Raw genomic sequence first — 22,043 nt, forward strand, 5'->3', positions numbered from 1 at the left:
TGAGATAACCATAAAAGAAGATTATCACATTTGGCTGATGTAATTTCAATTAAAAGCACAGAAACTTGGTAGTTTATCTGTCTTGTATATTTTTAAAGTGTTTTATTTATGTTCAGTTTTTAAAAATATTCGTAATAGGCCAGGTGCAGAGGCTGAGGTGGGAGGATTGCTTGAAGCCGGGAGTTAAAGACCAGCCTTGGCAATACACTAAGACCTTGTTTCTACAAAAAATAAAAAATTAGCTGAGTGTGCTGGCATGCATCTGTAGTCTCAGCTACTTAGGAGGCTGAGGCAAGAAGATCGCCTGAGTCCGGGAGTTGCAGTTTGTTTGAGGCTTCAGTGAGCCGTGATCACACTACTGCATTCCAGCCTGAGCAGCAGAGTGAGACCCTGTTTCAAAAAAAACAAAAATTCATTATAAATCACAGAACCTGACAAAATATTTTTGTGCATCTTTAGACCCTTAAAAGATTAGGTAGGAGAACTACCAAAATAGCTTCTACAGTCAGGCTTTAATTTTCTAGAGCAGCACTGTCCAGTGGAAATATAAACCATGGAAATACGAACCACAAACGTAGTTTTGAAGTTTTTAGTAGCCATATTTTAAATAGAAAGAAAAGAAGAAGTTAATTTTAATAATATATGTACCACAGTATATTCAAAATATTATCATTTCAACATGAAAACCACATAAAAATTATTGAGGATCAACCAAAAAGGAATTGTATTTGAAAAACACTAGGAATTCTTACAATTCAGTAAGGGGAAGAAGACATATAATCAATTGAAAAAATAGGCAAGAGACCCGAGCAGGCACTTTATGGAAGAGGATATACAAATGACAAAAAAATGTAAAACATATAGTCAACTTTATTAATAATTATGGCAATGCAAATTAAAACCATAGTAGAAAAGATAGCTGGGCACAGACTCCAGAAAAATGAGGACAAACTGGAATGCAGCTGCACCTCCGAATCTTCCTTTCACTGTCTCTGAACAAAGAAAACCAGTAATGTGTAATGCCTAAGCCTTCATTTCCACCTTCCAGATCTCCCGCCACTTTACTTTTGGCAAACTTTAACCAGGAACCATGTAAGGAAGAGTCTAAGTAATTTGGTTCACAGTATAAACAAGTAAACGGTTGAACAAGCCAGCACAATGAGAGTCTACTACACATTCATCATATTTGCTAAAATTTATAAAAACTGATGGTACCAAAGATCCAGGCTGTGGAATGGCTGGAATTCTCATACATTGCTGGTGGTAGTATAAATTGATAGAACTTTATTTGGAAACTTTTGCTTCTTTAACGTATTAAGTTAAATACATATAACCTAATATCCAGCAAAAAAAAAAAAAAAAAAAAGAGAGAGACATGTACAAAAACATTCACAGAAGCATTATTTACAGCAGCCAAAATCTGGAAACAACCCAAATGACCCAAAAGGAGAATGGATATTTGTGGTATAGTCATTATAAAATCTTAGGACTCAATGAAAATAAATTACAGGTACATAGTTTAGCTGGATGAATCACTTGGACACAAAAATATATATTGCATGATTCCATTAGTATCAAATTCAAAACAACACAAAATTAATTTATGGTGTTAGAAAGCAGGTTAGTGAATACCTTTGGGAATGTGTTTGGAGGATATATAGGGAAACTTCTGGGGTGTTGGCAACATTTTATTAACAGGGTCTTGGTAACATGGGCATACATTTTGGTGACTCCATTTTGCCTAAACTTAAGTACTTTTTTGTGTGTTCCTGATATACTTTGATGGAAAAGGTTAAAAATAAATAACTTGTAAACTTTAAAAATTATTCAGATATTTTACATTTTTTTTACTTGTACTAAGTCTTCAGTACTTAGGGTGTATTTTATCCTTATAAGACATGTTAATTCAGACTAGCCACATTTCAAGTATCCAGTAGCCAGCCACACGTGACTAATGGCTACCCTATTGGGCATTGTGGGTCTATAGCCCTACCATTTTAGAGCTTCTATGGAGTTAGACTTTATTTCAGGGCTTTCGTTGAAGTATTAATTAGGAAGAATAGGAGATTATTCCTCCCAAGGAACTCATTTTAATTTTACTGCTTTTGGTTTTATAGAATATTTTCTATTGAAAAACAGATGGTTGTTTTTATATACAAGTTCACAAGACACCTAATATGTCATTGTTTTGGTTTTTTGTTCTTATTGCTTTATTACCATTCTTCTCATGACCACCTTTTTTAAAAGCAAACTTTTCATTGAAGCTGTGACATACATACATAAAAGGGCACAAATTATAGCTCAATGAATTTTTACAAAGCAAACATACCCACTGTTTGTATCCCAGAAATAGAACAATAGAGAGCCTAGACATCATATATTTACAGTCAATTGATTTTTGACAGAGGTGCCAAGAACACACAATGGAGAAAGGACAGTTGCTTCAATAAATGGTGTTAGGACAACTGGATGTCCACATGCAGAAGAATGAAATTAGACCCTTATTTCACACCATATATAAAAATCAACCCAAAATGAAGTAAAGACTTACATGTAAGACCTGAAACTATGAAAGTATTAGAAGAAAACCTAGAAGAGAAGCTCTATGACATTGGTCTGGGCAATTATTTTTCTGGATAGACAAAATAGCAAAAATAGACAAATAGGATTACATCAAACTAAAAAGCTTCTGAACAGCCAAGAAAACAATCAACAGGGTGAAGAGACTACTTACAGAATGAGAGAAAATATTTGCAAAACATGCATAAGGAGTTAATATTCAAAGTATATGAGGAACTCAACCCAATAGCAAGAAAACAAACAACCTGATTTTTTTAAATGGGTGAAGGATCTGAGTAGACATTTCTCAAGAGAAGACATACAAATGGCCAACAGGTATGTGAAAAAATGCTAGTATCACTAATCATCAGGGAAATGCAAATCAAAACCACAATGAGATATCCCCTCATACCTGTTAGAATAGCTATTATCCCCTCATACCTGTTAGAATAGCAAAAGAAAAGTGTTGGCGAGGATGTGAAGAAAAGGGAACCCTTGCACCCTTTGGGTGGAAATATAAATTAATATAGCCATTAAGGAAAATAGTATGGAGGTTCCTTAAAAAAATTAACTATACAACTACCATATGATCCTACAGTCCCACTGCTGGGAATATATCCAAAGGAACCGAAATCAGTTTACGAAAGAGATACCTGCACTCACATGTTTACTGCAGCACTATTCACAATAGCCAAGATATGGAATCAACCAACAGATGAATGGATTTTAAAAATGTGTACACACACACACATAGACACAGACAATGGAATACTATTTGGCCTTTAAAAAGAGAGAAATTGGCCAGGCGCGGTGGCTCACACCTGTAATCCCAGCACTTTGGGAGGCCAAGGCAGATGGATCACGAGGTCAGGAGATCGAGACCATCCTGGCTAACACGGTGAAACCCCATCTCTACTAGAAATACAAAAAAATTAGCCAGACGTGGTGGCGGGCGCCTGTAGTCCCACCTACTGGGGAGGCGGAGGTAGGAGAATGGTGTGAACCCAGAAGGCGGAGCTTGCAGTGAGCCAAGATCACGCCACTGCACTCCAGCCTGGGCAACAGAGCAAGACTCCACATCTCAAAAAAAAAAAAAAAGAAAAAGAAAGAAATCCTGTAATAACATGGATGAACCTGGAGGACATTATATGAAGTAGAATAAGCCAGGTACAGAAAGACTAATACTTCATAATCTCACTTATATGTGGAATCCAAAAAAAGTTGTATTATAGAGGTAGAGAGTAGAATGGTGGTTACCAGGGGCTGGGCAGCAGGGATTGGGGAAATGTCAGTCAAACAATATAAAATTTCAAAATAAGAAATAGAACATTACCAGCATCCTAAAAACTCCTGCCTGTGCCACCTTCTAGTCACTACCCCAAAATGGAACCCGAATTATAACACTATAGATTAGTTTTGCTTGTTTGTGAAATTTTTACAAACAGAATAATATAGTGTTATACGTTTGTGTGTCCGGTTTATTTTGTTTAAAATTATGTTTGTGAGATTCACTTATACTGCTGATAGTTGCCATCGTTCTTTTCTTGTCATTGCTCTGTAGCATTCCATTAAATATATCACAGTTTGTCCATTTTATTGTTGATGGACACGAGTAGTTTTCCATTTTTGACTATTATGACTAGTGCTGTTATGAACATTGTTGGACATGTCTTTTAGTGAATGTTTTGTTCATGTTTCTGTTGATACATAACTGGAAGTGGAATTGCTGGGCTGTAGTATAAACATGTATCAGTTTATGTAGATACTGCCAAACAGTTGTTTAAAATGATTGTACCCATTTCCACTCAACTGAAACAATGAATCTTACTTGTTTCACATTCTCACAAACATTTGATATAATTTTGTTTTTTGTTTAGTCATATTGATATTTCTTTTCTAATACAGTCTTAAGCATAAATGTACTTTGAGTATCTTCTTTTGTGGAATATCTGTTAAATCTCTTGCCCATTTCTTTATTGTATTATCTGGCTTTTCCTTATTGGTTTGCAGGAGTTCTTTATACATTATGGGTAAAAGTCCTTTGTCATGTATGTGTATTGTATATACCATCTCCCACTCTATAGCTTGCCCTTTCACTCTTGAATCATATCTTTTGATTAATTTCTTAATTTTAATGTAGTCCAATTTAATTTAAATAATTTCATTTGTGTCTAGTGTAACTTTGTGTCCTGCTAGAAAAATCTCTGCCTGCCTGCAGCATTAGTATATTGCCTATTTTTTTCTAAAAGTGTTATTATTTACCTGTCATATTTAGCTCTAAAATTCACCTGGAATTAATTGTTGTGTATGGAATGAGGTAGGAGGTTAAGATTCATTATTTTATATATGGATATCCAGTTAACATGCAGTACTATGTTGTCTCCATTGTAACTTAGTGACTTTCATGTATGGGTCGATTCTGGGCTTTTTTTTTTTTTTTTTTTTTTTTTTTTTTTGAGACGGGGTCTTCCTCTGTCGCCTGGGCTGGAGTACAGTGGCACAATCTCAGCTCACTGCAAGCTCTGCCTCCCAGGTTCACGCCATTCTCCTGCCTCAGCCTCCTGAGTAGCTGGGACTACAGGCACCCGCCACCACGCCCAGCTAATTTTTGTATTTTTAGTAGAGATGGGGTTTCACCGTGTTAGCCAGGATGGTCTTGATCTGACCTCATGATCCGCCCGTCTTGGCCTCCCAAAGAGCTGGGATTACAAGCATAAGCCACCACGTCTGGCCTGTTCTGGGCTCTTTATTCTATTACAACCAAGTTTTTTGGTAAAATCAAGCAAAGTGGTATATGTGTGGGACGTTCTTAAGATGAGGAAATTCTAGAGTTAAGTGGAATTAATTTATTCAAGATGTCTAGGAAGCAATATTAGAACATTTATCCTTTAACTAGGAGAAGTTACATATTATCAGTAATAGAGCCAAGCTTAGTTATCAAAACCTCTGACTTTCAAACATATAAAGGGTTCTTTAGTTCCAAACTTTTTTTTTCCTTTCTGAAATAGGGCCTTGCTCTGTCACCCAGGCTGGAGTACAGTGGCACAATCACAGAGCTCACCTCAGCCTCAACCTCCCAGGCTCAAGCAATTCTCCCACTTCAGCTTCCTGAGTGGCTAGGACCACAGGTGTGTGATACCACACCTGACTAATTTTTTTGTGTGTCGTGGAAACAGGGTCTTGCTGTGTTGCCCAGACAGGTCTTGAACTTCTGGAATTACAGGCATAAGCCACCATGCCCAGTCTACCTCCAGACTTTCAGTTATACATCCTTATTAGTAAATGATGTTTGAACATATAACCTAATATATGTATGAAATATATTTATTAATAAGTTATATATTGTATATGTAGTATACATATATTACTACATTAATATGTTATTTTCTTTATAAAACACACAAAATTGAAATTGAAAGGAAATCATAACATAGAAATAGAAATCCTAATGTTTTCTTTTTACACCTCTATATCAGCCAAGATGGGCTAGGTTATGTGTGTTATCAACTCTCAAATTTCAGTGGCTTAAAACAGCACAGGTTTATTTGTCTCATGCTCTGTGTCCATTGTGGTTTGGCTTCAACACTCCTCTGTATTGCATCGTTCTCTGTATTGTTCAACACCCTGGCACCCAGACTGATACAGCAGCCACCAGCTGGAGGCTTGCTTGTCATCAGGACAGAGGGAAAAATAATGAGGAATTAACACTTAAAGCTTTGGCCTAGATTTGACACATGGCACTTCTGCATACGTTTCATTGGCCAAAACAAGTTATGTGTTCCTACCTAATTTGAGGGAAGAAAAGTCCTAACCTTGTGCCCAGGCAGAGAAATGGACATATTTTAGACAGCATTAAAAGTTGACACCTCTCTCATGATCAGTTTTGGAGAACACAGCCCAGGATTTGTGTTTGTCTAAGAAAATAAACACACAAAGACAAGTCTATTTAGCTTCTTCCATTATTTTGTATTGTTTTTAACACACTGAAGTCCTGAGTAATGAGTCAACTACAACTACAGGCATAGTGGCCTCTCTTGCTTACAACTCTGTAATGGCTTTTTAGCACTCATTATATAACTCAGACACCTTAATATAGCCTACAAGCCCCACCTTTCCAGCTTCATCTAACTCCACTCACACCACACCTTAGAGGCCTCAGACTGGCCTTTCAGTTCCTTGAAGGGAGACATGTGCTCCCTACTTCTGTTTTGAATGTTTTTCTTCCCTTTTCCTTGTTTTTGCCCAGTCACTCTGTAGCTTTAAGATCAAATGTTTCTTCAAGGAAGCCCTCTCTGACTCCCAGAGTACATCAAGTCCTCTCTGTTCTACACTCTCATAATACCCTATACTTTGCTTCCAGAGAAGCCATTCCATTTTATGAGTGTATTTTTGCACTATTCTTTGTTCAGTCAATTTCCTCCAATTACAGTACAAGCTCCAAAGGGTAAGGATCAAGTCTGTTTTGCTCAGCACTGTATGCTATTCCTTGTGTTTAGCCCAGTTACTGGCATATATTAAGAGCTCGTTAAATATTGAGTTTGGTTATAGTTTTATATTTTAGGTCTGTGACATTTGTGTAGTCTATAGAGAACATGTCTGAGATATTTATACAGTCCATAGAGAATGATGTGATAAGAAGATGTAAATCACACAAACTGCAAATACACACTTGTTCTATGCCTCTATGTCTTAGGGAGTCTAAGAGATTCCAAGGTCAGAATGTTTTTCCTGTTCTCTCTGAATTGAAATATACCCTCACAAAGATTTTCACTTTCTTTAGGTGTTTTTCCTTTTCTCACTTTTTGAGTGATAATTTTTTGTTTAAATTGAGAGCCATACAGTCAGGGGATATATCACATTTAACATAAATGGCAGTAAAACTGCCCAAGCAGTGAGTGTATTATATAGGCATAGTTAATAAACAAGCTGTGTGACATTAAGCTATGTTTCTCTCTAGCTTTCTGGAGATAGTACTGAATTCCCAAAACACAGCGTGATTTATTTTTTGTGATAGTGTGCATCAGCAAAAGGGCATATATTAGATGCTTGGAAAATGCTTTGCTATAGATTTATGTCTTTTTACTATTTGTCTTCATATATAATTATTGGGGGCAACTTTAGTTTTTTCTATTTCTCTTTTCAGAAAGAATAACAATTTTTTCGCCTTCTTATCTATATGTTTCATTGTGGACTATCAGTACTGTTCTTCATTTAAAATGCAAATGTTCTAATAATCTACAATCATAACCTTATGGTAGAACTGATACAGACATTGTAATCTCTAAGCCTCTGAAAATAGTGTTCTGCATTTTTATTGTAATCTCTAAGCCTCTGAAAATAGTGTTCTGCATTTTTATTCTAGAAGAGAGCTACTGCTCCTCATCAATGAGAGAGTGGGATTAAAAGGAACATGAGTAAGGATTATATTTGCAGAGCCTATCTATTTATTCAACAGTATTGTTGAATAATAACATTTCTTAAGTATCATCTTCCCTCAATATATGTGGGGGATTGGTTCCAGAATCGCCCTCCCCCCGCCACTGCATATTCCAAAATTCATGCATACTGAAGTCCCACAGTTGCTTCTAGGACATCAGCCATTCCGGTACTTGGGTTTTGTGGCGGGCAAATACTATATTTTTTATCTGTGGTTGGTTCAAAAAAAATTCACACATAAGTGGACCCCCCACAGTTCAAACTCATGTTCAAGGTTTAGCTGTATCTATTTTGTAGCAGAATCTAGGGAAACTTAGAAAGAGAATGACCTTTTCTATGAAACTTAATTTTGTTTCAGACAATAACATTCTGATAAGAGCTGAGTTTTACTCTTTTGTTAGCACTGTCAGTTTTCTCAACCATAGAATGAGAATGATAAAATAACCATCTCGGCTGGGCACGGTAGCTCACTCCTCTAATCCCAGCACTTTGGGAGGCCGAGGTGGGCGGATCACCTGAGGTTGAGAGTTCGAGACCAGCCTGACCAACAGGAAGAAACCCTGTCGCTACTAAAAATACAAAATTAGCCGGGTGTGGTGGTGCACGCCTGTAATCCCAGGTACTCGGGAGGCTGAGGCAGGAGAATCACTTGAACCCAGGAGGTGGAGGTTGCGGTGAGCCGAGATCGCGCCATTGCACTCCGGCCTGGGCAACAAGAGCGAAACTCCATCTCAGAAACAAACAAAACAAAAAACAAAATAACCATCTCATAAAGTTCTTGTGAAGAGTAAATAAGATAGTACATTTAAAGTACTTAACCCAGCACCTGGCATACAACAAACACTTCGTTATTTTAGATTTACTGTGAGACTTCGTCCAAAGTTACCTCTTAGGTATTTATTTTCCTCTGTTCCTCCCTTCTTATTTTTCTCCAAATTGTCATCAAAGATAAATTTCTAAAACAAAAATCTGATTGTATAACTACCTCTTTGATACCATCTTTTCAGCTTTGAAAACCTTTAGTGGTTTCCTGTTGTCTGAAGAGGAATGCCTCAAATACATGGATGGTATTCAGCATCTTCCCACGTGGCCCTAGCCTTCCTTCCCAAACCATCTTCTGCCTTGACCACCCACTGGGTTGCAGCCCAAGTAGGCCACACAGTTTTATTTTGCTACCTTGGCTTGTTGTCTTCCTTCTGTCTAGAATTCCTGCTGTGGGCCTCACCTCCTCATCACCCCACAACCTGAAGAAACAACTGTCTATGGGAAACTCAAAGATTTCTCTTCTTTCTAGGCAGAATTTTTGGTTCCTGTTCATTCATCTCTTTTTAGCATTTATTATGATATCAAAGGTAATTCTATATGTCTTGCTCTCTTACTAGCTCATGAGTTCCTTCAGAGCAGAGGCCATAGTTTATTCATCATTGTGATAACATTGATGAGTGCCACTAGAACTCAGTAGGCACTCTGTAAAAATTTGTTGAAGTAATGTATTAATATTTGGTTTAATTTTATTTTGATTTCAGTGTGTTTTTATTCTAGGTCCTTGGCCTTGTCCAAAACATGAGTGTTTTCCAGTGTCCAAAATGTAAACACAAAACTCATATTTTTGGTGCTGATGGTGCAAGGAAACTAGCACAGACCCTTGGTCTTGAAGTTCTAGGTAAGACTGTGGGATGTTCTTTTGTAGAAGAAGTGGCAGAAGAGAAAGTGGGGATGAGGCTTGATGATTAAGAGTGTCTCAGAGGCCGGGCACGGAGTCTCACACCTGTAATCCCAGCACTTTGGGAGGTCGAGGTGGACAGATCACGAGGTCAGGAGATCGAGACCATCCTGGCTAACATGGTGAGACCCTGTCTCTACTAAAAATACAAAAAATTATCCAGGCGTGGTGGCGGGCGCCTGCAGTCCCAGCTACTCAGGAGGCTGAGGCAGGAGAATGGCATGAACCCTGGAGGCGGAGCTTGCAGTGAGCTGAGATAGCACCACTGCACTCCAGCCTGGGTGACAGAGTGAGACTCCATCAAAAAAAAAACAAAAAACAAAAAACAGTGTCTCTGAAAATGATGAGTTGCTTTTGGCTTTGTGTTTTAAATTAATATAGCACAGTTCTATGTGTTAACCTTTCTTTGGCTTTTTTGAATAGGTTTGTTCTGTCAACTATGATAATTTCTATTTTAAATAAAAACTGTCTATAACTTAAATTTGAGAATAGAGTTTTGTAGTCCAAGTACTGTAATTTGAAGCCATATTTTAAATGATACTCATCAGTGTGTTTGCTAAGTTGGGTGTACATCTCTCAGTAGAAACAGGTACATTAAAATGTCTGTTCCGTATGTTGTAAAAACCTCTAAAAGTGTTCGTTCTTAGTGCATATGTAAAAATGCCTTCCTGATTAATTCTTTGTTAGTCTTTCTGCTTTAGAATGGCAGTATTTACTGTTTTCTGTAATATTTAATGTGTTTGATATGTCTTTAAAATATGGCACCTGAAATTTACATTGTACGCACTGTTCATGGCACTGAACTGAAGAGTTCATTAGTGCTGTGAGGAAAACTAAAATCATGTGTTAAATAAGCAAAACACAGGTTTTGGATAAAACATGATGTTCCAAAAATCCACAGGCAACTTAACAGACTTTTTAGAAAACATGTTTTGATATTCTAATTGTGAATGGGTTTCTGTTCTTGCCAAAGGCAGGTGTTAGATGCTGAATAGGGAAGGCATAAAGTGAATTATTAGACTTAGGTAGTTAAAAATTAAGATCCCTAGAGATTAAGGAATTTCAAAACATTCTCTGTTATAATTAAGTTTCTAAAAGTTGATGTTAAATATATTATTGTTATGCATTTGCACTATAGCAGCCACTACAATACCAGGTGAATACTAATGATATATTTTGATACATTGCTATAATTATAGCCACTAATTATATTCTGCAACTGTTTTTCATTTAACCCAGAAAGTTCAATTTTCCAAATCTGCATAATAACAGATTGACATTCGCTTATATAATAAAGTAAATGTGTAATTATAATGGCATTATTGAATTATACTGACAACATTGTAATTTCCTAACTTACAAATGAGCTGAACAATTTCCTAAGTCAGTTATTTAGAATTTGAAACATTTCATTGAGAAACAATGGTATGTATGGAAGTTACATTTTAACCAATGGCTCACAGATGTACAATTACCCTAAAAATGTATCAAAAACACTGACTACTGATCACAAAAATTTGATGGTGCCCTAGACTGCTATGTCTGACAGTGTTAGGGGAAAAATCATTTAGAATTCCTCGTTAGGGCACGTCCCCTCCTTTTAATGTAGTCATGGGTCCCATGGTGTCTCCCATGAAGTGGAGCAGGGCTTCAATTATGAAGAGGTTGGAATTGGGAATGAGGAACTGAAATCAGGGAAAAAGCTTTCACAGCTCTGGCCTCTTGGCCAGTTGAACCTCCTGGGAACCCTTATTTGTCCTTTACTGACTCCCTGGCAGACTCTTAATTCAGTGGGTCGTGTTTTAAATGATTATTTGGTACGATAGCTCTTGAGAACCTTATCTGTATTTACCTACAGGGACAGTTTATGCATAGTAGTTAAGGTCTCAGACCATCTCACAGAAAACCCTTTAACCTATTATATGTCTGAAATGTTTCCTCATTTCTTTCAGACTTAGCACCTCAAAAATACTTCTCAGGCTCAGACTGCTCCTCACTCACTTTTACTTTTTAAAAATCCCTGTCTAGATACAACAATTAGCCCATTACCATTCTTACTACGCACCTATTTTTAACAAGATTTTTCCCCTTCTTGGTCTAATCTTCTGTGTCTGTAGGTAGGATTGTGAGTATCTGGAGAGCAGAAATGATGTCAATAGATGGCTATATAAAGGTGAAGGTTTTACTCTTTTACCTTCCATTTCTGCAGTAGAAAAGAAATCCTTCATGATTCTTTACTAGAATGACAGTTCATAAATTGAGAGGAAAAAAATTTCATTTCTAAGCATTTTCTATAACATTTTTGCTGCTTGCTCCTGTGACAGTTTCCTATAGTCCGAAGTTGATCTAGAGAATAGGAATCAAATTTAATGAAAAGCTGATCCTTAAATGGTTACTAAAATATCATGTATTTGTCATTTGGCCGTTGGATATTGAGGACTTATAGTTTAAGATCACAGCATTTGACAAGAGGATCATGAAATAACATTTACTTTTCCATGTACTTCATAGTATATACTGTAATATTTTTATAACATATACTTCATTATTTAAATTTCCTGACATGGTGCTAAATGACTTATTTGAATAAAGCACCACATACACGTATGTTTTAATAACTTTTGCATGGATTTGGAGTGGTTCTGAGAACGCTAAGTACCATGGCAAGTCAACTTTTCCGCTTAAGACTCCACTCACTGTGCTTTAAATCTCAGTCTTGATAGACTTCATTTGTGATAGTGTGCTGGAAAGAGTATATTGGATGAGGGGTCAGAATTTAGGTCAGCTCCTAAATTCCACTGCCTAATAGTAATGTGTCCTCAAGAAAACACACCTCTCCCATCTCAGTCTGTATTTTGGAGGTTCTTATCATATACTTGCTGAGATCTCACCAAGCTCACAAGTTATATATGGTGCTACATAGGTTAGTAAATAATAAGAGAAAAATAATTCTGTCTGATAAAGAGACAGATAGTTGAGATAACAGGTCTGGCCTACTTTTGACCAGTTCTTTGAGCTCACTCCATTTGCCAACATCAGGAAGGTTATTTTGTTGTACTTTTTTTTGAACTACTTTGCCTCCCCATATTTTTCTCTTCAGTTTCCTCTTATTATGTGGCATGATGTGTCTATATCAGATATTAATGGGAGAAATCATTTGCAAATGTCTTCCAAGCCATTGCTTGCTTGGAGACTTCCAGCAAAGAATAAATCAGAGGCCTCATACCTTGATGTGGTGCCACAGAGCTTTCCTATATAAACATACAATCACTGTACTACTCTAAAATAGAGTATCTTGTTTGTAATTCCCATTTGAAATTTCTTTTTCAAAGATTTAGCAATTAGAAGATAGTCAATTTGAATCAATTTAGTTCCGATTTTGTTTCTTTCCATAGTTCAAATAGTGAGATTCAAAATGCCTATATGAACTTTTCTGGTTCTAATGGATGTCTGCTGGGCTCTTTTAGGAGACATTCCCTTACACCTTAATATAAGGGAAGCTTCAGATACAGGCCAGCCAATTGTGTTTTCACAGCCTGAAAGTGATGAGGTAAGTTCCATTTTTGGATACATATTTTTATTTCTTTTTATGTACTTTTGAAATACAGAAAGAAAGTTGGGAAGATTAAGCGTTTATATTTGCAGTGCATATATATTTAAACAAGGATTATTTAACTTGTCCAAAGCATCTTTAAGTTACTGTCATGTACAGTAAGCTTCCAGTGCTGGCTCTAAATTATCATCTAAACAAGTTTACCTACAGAGAATCATCACCCAACCAGTTTTCTCAAGAAAAGCGTGAAAAGAGAGTTTGTAAAATTCTTATATTGCTGGCTAGCAATATCTAACTGCCCAAGATTATTATATTTCAGTATTAGAAGTTCAACTGATTGGAGAAGGAAGCCTAATGCAAGAAAGTATTGAATTGGATATAAGGCAATTGTGTAAACCATTAGAGGTGGGATTTTTTTTTCTTTCCTTTTTCTTCAGACAGGGTTTTGCTCTGTCACCCAGGCTGGAGTACAATTGTGCGATCCCAGCTCACTGCAGCCTTGACTTCCCATGCTCAAGCAATCTTCGCATCTCACCCTCCCCTCCCGAGTAGCTAGGACCACAGGTGTACACCACCATGCCCTGCTAATTTTTTTTTTTATGGAGACAGGGTCTCACTATGTTGTCCAGGTTGGTCTCGAACTCCTGGACTCAAGTTATCCTCCCATCTTGGCCTCCCAGCATGCTGAGATTATAGGCATGAGCCACCATGCCCAGCCTAGAGATGAAATTTTCATTGCATTTATTTTAATAAATATAACTGGGAAGGTGAGGTGAAAAGACTAGTAGTGTTTCATTAGCCAACATAGTTGGAGATATAGTTGATAGATTTTCAAAATTACTGCCACATAAAATCTTTAAGCATAAAATATTTTAATCTTTTTAAAAATAGAAATAAAATTAATCATACATATTTTTTCTTTCCTAAATAACACTTGCTATTTAACTTGGAAACTGAATCATCATCTGGCACATCAGTTCAGATGTTGTTCCTTTGTTGAACAGCCCCAATCAATCTTCTAATAGTTTTTCTTTTTTTTTTTTTTTCTTTTCCTTAACTAATGGGTATAGCTTTACAGTACTGGTATTTTTTCCAAACATAACTGCTGTTCTTTATATTCTAGTTTGCTTCCTTTAACCTTCTGTGAATTGGAAAATAAAGGAGCCAAGTTTGGTTAGAGCTGTAAAGTAAGAGTAAATGAACAGTAATCTTGGATGAGTAAAGTATATTCATTTTGAGTGATCTGTTTTCTGCGTTTAGAGGTCCTTTCCTTTTCTTAAGAGTCAGCAGCTATGGTATAGGTGATTGTTTTGCTGGCGATATGATCTCTGAGTAGATATGGTATAACAGTTACCATTATTTTTCTCTTCTCTGTCTTTTAGGTATTAAATGTTAAATTTCCTTTTCAGTCTTTCTCAACAATTTTTCAGCTAAGCAAAAAACCATAATCCTTTATCATCTTGGTAATTAAAGTCTGCCAATCCCAACTACCATAGCTGTACTTTATGCAATATATGAAAAAGTTCTTTGAAAATTGAGGGTTTTTTTTGCTTTAATTACACACTTTTAAGTGCCTCCTGAGAACAGACTATAAAGACATTTCACAGTGATTCCTAGTGAATAAGAATAATTTCTTATCAGTGTATTTCAATTAAGAGTTTAGATTTTTATTATGGTTTTCACCTGTTCATTATTTTTTCTTTGAAATCCTCCAGAAGTAAGAAACATTTCATTGAAGTTAGAGGAATGTAATATAACAGAGAACATATAGCCACCATCCAAAGATAATATGATTTAATACTCTAAATAGCTTTGTTAGATTCTCGAAGGGGATCTCTGCATGGCAGGAAGAGCACTAAATCTGAGTCATCATGGGGTACCAAGTTTGCCACTTTCGATGTGTGACCTAAAGCAAGTTTTCTAACCTCTCTGAACCTTTCTCTCCATCTATAAATTGATGTCATAATGAGGAAGATGAGAAAGAATAAATGAAATAATAATGTGAAAATACCTTGAAAAATGCCAAGTAGAATATAACTGTATTTACCTTCTGAAACTGCCTGTATAAGATGTCATGACACTAAATGTCTCTCCTCTTCCCTTTGCTAAAGAGCTGAGTCCACTTAGTGTCCTTGACGTGGTATCAAGTAAATATCACTCTTTGATGTTATTTAAAAATCAAAGTAGGCCCGGCACGGTGGCTCACGCCTGTAATCCCAGCACTTTGGGAGGCTGAGGCGGGCAGATCACGAGGTCAGGAGTTTGAGATCAACCTGGCCAACATGGTGAAACCCCGTCTCTAGTAAAAATACAAAAATTAGCTGGGCGTGGTGGCACACACCTCTAATCCCGGCTACTTGGGAGGCTGAGGCAGGAGAATCACTTCATCCTGGGAGGCGGAGGTTGCAGTAAGCCGAGGTCACGCCATGGCACTCCAGCCTGGGCAAAAAGAGCAAAACTCCGTCAAAAAATAAAAATAAAAAAATCAGGGTAGCAGCATTTGAATCATGAGAGAAGAATTCCCAGCTTCAACATCAAAGACATTAACTCCTAGACACTAAGAAGCTGTGATTGAGGCCTAGGATCAGAATCCTCCAGTTAGTCTTGTGATGAATCTTGCCTCCTGAAAGCCTCCTTCCCTTTCCCCCGTGAACTCAAATAGAAATGTGCTCTTAGAAACTAGTCACAACGCTCTCACCAGATTCTGTTGTATTCATAGAAGCATAATACCTATTCTGCCTGCATGTCTTCATTTAAAGAATGAAGGAAGTGTTTATTTGCCAACATGATAAAACTTCTGCAGAAGTTAATGGGGCAAAACCTATAATGTTATTTGTTAATTATCCACTTTAGACTGATACTGTTGTGTTGTGTTGTGTTTTGTTTTGTTTTGTTTTGTTTTGTTTTGTTTTGTTTGAGACAGGATCTTACTCTGTCACCCAGGTTGGAGTGCAGTGGCACGATCTCATCCTCCCAAGTAGCTGGGACCACTGGTTCACACCACCACATCCAGCTAATTTTTTGTGTGTTTGGTAGAGATGGGGTTTCACCATGTTGCCCAGGCTGGTGTCAAACTCCTGAGCTCAGGAGATTCACCTGCTTTAGCCTCCCAAAGTGCTGGGATTACAGACATGAGCCATCACACCTGGCCTAGACTGATACTTTTTATTGTTTACTTTTAGGGGTTGACTCATAGGCACGATTATAAATCAGTAAACGTTTAATCGTTAGCTTTTTGTCTTCCTTCTTACTCCACCTTCTCCATTTTCTATCACTCCATCCTCCCAGCACCAGGTGTTAGGGCTCTTATTCTCTGCCCACAAAATCCTTTAGAATTACACACTGAGGATTTAACTCTCCCAGTAACATTTAACTTTCAGAAGAGGCAAACACTAAAAAGGTAGTGATTAATTTAAAGATATGAATTGTGGTGAATTTAAGACATCATTGGAAATGTTGGAAGAGCTGTTAGTACCAATTAAAAAGTACTAATAGTCTGCTGCTTGCTCAGACAATGGGCAAAACCTTCTGCACATGTACACCACTTAGGAAAGGCAAGTAAGACTCCAAATGTGACTAGTGTAAAGCAGCCAAAGAAAACAATAGAGGAGGGGTGAGAAGGCGATATTTAGAATTCAGAACCCCTAAATTCAATAGCATCCCCGCATGCTGGTATGATTAATACTGTTGATGCAATTAAAACTACCTTCTGCTCTTGATTAAGACCAGAATACAAGGAATGGACCTGTGATTAGCTGATAACATTGTGGTTTTATCCTTTTTATCAAGTAAGAATATTAGCTACAGAAAGATGTGCTATAAGATATTCCTGGTAAAGACTTTCAAATATTAGTGGGAACTTTATTTTCTTACAATTTCTAAATTATCACCTCACAATCTTAATATGAAATGACTGTGTATGATAAATTGGGACTTCAAATATTTAAAAACAAAAACAAAGGAAAAGACCTTTGTGCACTTTGGTTACCATTCATTCCCTGTTGCTAGTTAATGGCATAGCGGACAGTAGGGTCCAACTGTATTATCTGTGCCTCTAGATGACCTAACAAAAAGATCTTGAATAGGAGAAAAGGGTTAGTCTGTGTAGAGTTGATGAAAGAAGAGAGTATTAATAGTTTGAGTTATCTCAGTTATGTCCTTTACATATGATATGTGTGTGTGTTACTTTTTTGCTAGTTATGGATTAAACAAAAGAAAGATAGATTTGATTTAATTATTCCTCAGGTGGGAACAGTGCCCAAAGGACATGTTCATATGAGTTCTTCAATGAGATTATAAATTTCTTGAGACTATAATGATAATAACAGCAGCTACAGATATTTATTATATGCTTCCTCTGTACCAACAATTCACATGCCATATTCTCACTTAATACTCCGAAAATGCTTTGAGCTAGATATAATTATTATAACCAGTTTACAGATATGGAAACTGAGCCTAGAAGGGTTGAGTAACTTGCCCAAAGCCTCACAGCTGGTAAGTAATAAAGCCAACATTCTAAACCATGGCTGTCTGACTTCAAGGCCCCAACTCTTCACCAATGAACTGTTCTGCCCCTCTTTTATATCATTACACACCACAGATTTCCCAACACAATGCCTTGCACGCAATACAAACCAAAATGTATTTGTTGAAATAAAACTGCACTGGCTAAAAAATTTAGCCTCAACAGTTTTTGAGAAATTGAAACTGTTAAACTAAGCACTTTCAGTGGTTTCTCAGCAACTGACAATCTATTACTTTGAATGTGATATATTAGAAGTCAAAGTTTGGAGATAGTCCATTAAAAAGGAAAGGTTAAATGTAGCCAATTTGATTGTTCTGGAATTATTCAGTATTTTTTGTATTCTGATAGGTTTATGTCTCTAATGTAGATAAATACTAAAAGATTACAGAATGATGGCCTTGTCTCATCTTGCTTTAGTGAACTTTAAATTTTCATCACAAAATATTAGGCATAAGTACCTAGAAAAGCTACTAGGAGATAAAAGGTATTTATAAAGATGTATGGGTGAAAATCAGCACATTTGATTTGAGAGAAACCTTTCTTTATAAGTAGATGTTATTTCTATTTATAAACAAAAACTATTGTTTCTGTTAACTACAGCAGAGAAGAACCCATTTTTAGACTATGCTTTATGATTATAATTACTTGTATTTGGGTTTACTGTTTAACATGTGGTGTAGTGGAAAAAGCTGGACTTTAGAGTCAGTTGGACCCAGGTTTGAAGGTTTTCCAGCCTGACTTCATGACCTTGAGCAAATAACTCCTGGTTTCATCATCCAAGTTAAGCTGATGATGCTTGTTTTACGTGTCTAAGTGAGATTATTTACATGAAGTACTTGGTATAGTAGGTACTCAATAAAAACATTTAAAGCCTTATTCATGTTTTTAGAGTTTTTTTTTTTTTTAAGGACTCTCTTAAAATGACTTTTAATACTTTTCTGGTAAAATAAATCATGATTTAGCTGTTAGGGCTCAAGCATAGTCTTTAAAAATGAAGACATGCGAAACACTCTTAAAGCACTTCATCAAGTCAGGGCAAATGGACCACAAACATCTCTTTTTACTGTGCAGAGTCTGGGAATTGGTCAGCTTAGGTTCAAAGCCCAGCTCATCTCTTACTAGCTATAATGTTTTTGACAAAATTATTTACCTTTCTGGATGTTTCCTTATCTGTAAAGTCGGGATAATGATAGAATTTACCCCCAGAGTAACTGTGAAGATAAATAACACTTGGCAAATATTAAGTACTCAGTAAATCTTAGCTGTTTTCATTAGTTGTATATAAATATATAACTGTAAGCATATTATTTTATTCGTTTGTTTTCACACTGCTGATAAAGACATACCAGAGACTGGGCAGTTTACAAAAGAAAGAGGTTTATTGGACTTACAGTTCCATGTGGCTAGGGAGGTCTCACAATCATGGAGGAAGGTGAATGGCAAGGAGGAACAAGTCATGTCTTACATGGATGGCGGCAGGCAAAAAGAGAGCTTGTGCAAGTAGACTCCCATTTTTTTTAAGCTATCAGATCTCATGAGATTCACTGTTATGAGAACAGCATGGGAAAGACCCACCCCATGATTCAATCACCTCCCACCAGGTTCTTCCCATGACACATGGGAATTGTGGGAGTTACAATTGAAGATGAGATTTGGGTGGGGACACAGCCAAACCATATCACTCCACCCCAGCCCCTCCCAAATCACATGTCCTCACATTTCAAACCCAATCATGCCTTCCCAACAGTCCCCGAAAGTCTTAACTCATTTCAGCATTAATTAAAATGTCCACAGTCCAAAGTCTCATCTGAGACAAGGCAAGTCCCTTCCGCCTATGAGCCTGTAAAATCAAAAGCAAGTTAGTTACTTCCTAGATACAGTGGGGGTACAGGCATTGGGTAAATACAGCTGTTCTAAATGGGAGAAATTGGCCAAAACAAAGGGGCTACAGGCCCCATGCAAGTCTGCAATCTGGTGGGACAGTCAAAGCTTAAAGCTCCAAAATTATCTCCCTTGACTCTATGTCTCACATCTAGGTCACGCTGATGCAAGAGGTGAGTTCCCATAGTCTTGGGCAGCTTTGCCCCTGTAGTTTTGCAGAGTATAGCCTCCCTCCCGGCTGCCTTCATGGTTTGGCGTTGAGTTTCTGCAGCTTTTTCAGGCACACTGTACAAGTTGTCAGTGGATCTGCCATTGTGGGGTCTGGAGGATGGTGACTGTCTTCTCACAACTCCACTAGGTCATGCCCCAGTAGGGACTCTGGGGGCTCTGACCCCACATTTCTCTTCTGCACTGCCCTAGCAGAGGTTCTTCGTAAGGACCTCGCCCCTACAGCAAACTTCTGCCTGGGCATCCAGGTATTTCCATACATCTGAAATCTAGGTGGAGGTTCCCAAACCTCAATTCTTGATTTCTGTGCACCCACAAGCTCAACACCATGTGGAAGCTGCCAAGGCTTGAGGCTCGCTTCACCCTCTGAAGCCATGGCCTGAGCTCTTCATTGGCCCCTTTCAGCCATGGCTGGAGCAGCTGAGGAGCAGGGCACCAAGTCCCTAGTCTCCACACAACACGGGGACTCTGGGCCCAGCCCAGAAAAATTATATTTTCCTCCTAGGCCTCCAGACCTGTGATGGGAGAGGCTGCCATGAAGACCTCTGACATGCCCTGGAGACGTTTTCCCCATTGTCTTGGGGATTAACATTCGGCTCCTAGTTACTTATACAAATTTCTGCAGCAGGCTTGAATTTCTCCTCAGGAAATGGGATTTTCTATTCCTATCACAGTGTTAGGCTGCAAATTTTCTAAACCTTTATGCTCTGCTTCCCTTATAAAACTGAATACCTTTAACCTCTTGAATGCTTTGCTGCTTAGAAATTTCTTCTGCCAGGTACCCTAAATCATCTTTCTCAAATTCAAAGTTCCACAAATCTCTAGGGCAGGGACAAAATGCCGCCAGTCTCTTTGATAAAACATAACAAGAGTCACCTTTGCTTCAGTTCCCAACAACTTCCTCATCTCCATCTGAGACCATCTTAGCCTGGACCTTATTGTTCATATCAGTATCAGCATTTTTGTCAAAGCCACTGAAGTCTCTGGGAAGTTCCAAACTTTCCACATTTTCCTGTCTTCTTCTGAGCCCTCCAAACTGTTCCAACTGCTGCCTGTTACCCAGTTCCAAAGTCACTTCCACATTTTCGGGTATCTTTTCAGCAACGCCACACTCTACTGGTACCAACTTACCGTAATAGTTTGTTTTCACACTGCTGATAAAGACATACCAGAGACTGGGCAGTTTACAAAAGAAAGAGGTTTATTGGACTTACAGTTCCATCTGGCTAGGAAGGCATCACAATCATGGAAGAAGGTGAAAGGCAAGGAGGAACAAGTCGTCTTACATGGATGGTGGCAGGCAAAAAGAGAGCTTGTGGAGAGAGACTCCTGTTATTAAAGCTATCAGATCTCATGAGACTTATTATCACAAGACCAGCATGGGAAAGACCCACCCCATGATTTAATCACCTCCTACTGGGTTCCTTCCACAACACATGGGAACTGTGGGAGTTACAATTGAAGATGAGATTTGGGTGGGGACACAGCCAAACCATATCAATTATCAATGTAGAAATTAATGGTTTTAGAAAATTTTACTATTGTGTTCTACAGTTACTTTTTATGAATAAAGTAGAGGATATAAGTAATTTTGCATTACATTTATTTAAAGGAACTCTTAAAATGCAAATATCATTACCATGCAGGCATTAGGTTAGCTTGTGGCCCACTCTGTGGCTTAAGAGCTGCTGTTAGTGTCCCATGACACTGGGATCCCAGACATAAAGAGTGTAACAATGGAACTAGGATTTTTTGCATGATATCCATTTTTTACCAGGTGAAAGAGCCTATAGGTGCTTGGTGCTGGTATTACACACCATTCTCGGGGAGATGAAGAAAATGCTTTCCTAAGATAAACTGTAGCATGGTAATAAATAGTCCTCCTTAAAATGACTAACAGCTCTTATGCTAAAGAAGTTTTGGCAGTCTCTAACTCAATATATCAATTTTTCAGAGCAAAAAGGTGTAATCTCTCTGCAACTAGACTGGGTTGCTAGTTTGCTGACACCAGAATTAGAATTTGAAAAACAGTAATTTCTGGTACTAAATATTACTTCAGAGTCACCTTCCAAATAATTACCCTCCAAATAATCTAAAATTCTTTCTTCCTTGTGCCGCCTGCAATATATACAGCA

At 37.5% G+C, this 22,043-nt stretch overlaps 1 protein-coding gene across 8 annotated transcripts in view; it reads left to right on the plus strand.

Moving 5' to 3' along the window:
* Nucleotides 1-22,043, plus strand: part of NUBPL (NUBP iron-sulfur cluster assembly factor, mitochondrial) — a 299,821-nt gene that overhangs the window by 275,530 nt on the left and 2,248 nt on the right. For all 8 annotated transcript variants that reach the window (NR_120408.2, NM_025152.3, XM_047431787.1 and 5 more), the window contains 2 exons: nt 9,538-9,658; nt 13,186-13,268. Coding sequence is in view for 7 of the 8 variants with exons in the window: in NM_025152.3 (NP_079428.2) it covers nt 9,538-9,658; nt 13,186-13,268 (204 nt within the window). In the remaining variant the exon portion in view is untranslated. The remainder of the gene's footprint in view (nt 1-9,537; nt 9,659-13,185; nt 13,269-22,043) is intronic.

Source organism: Homo sapiens, chromosome 14 (genome assembly GCF_000001405.40).
Source record: "Homo sapiens chromosome 14, GRCh38.p14 Primary Assembly".
NCBI classification, from domain to species: domain Eukaryota; kingdom Metazoa; phylum Chordata; class Mammalia; order Primates; family Hominidae; genus Homo; species Homo sapiens.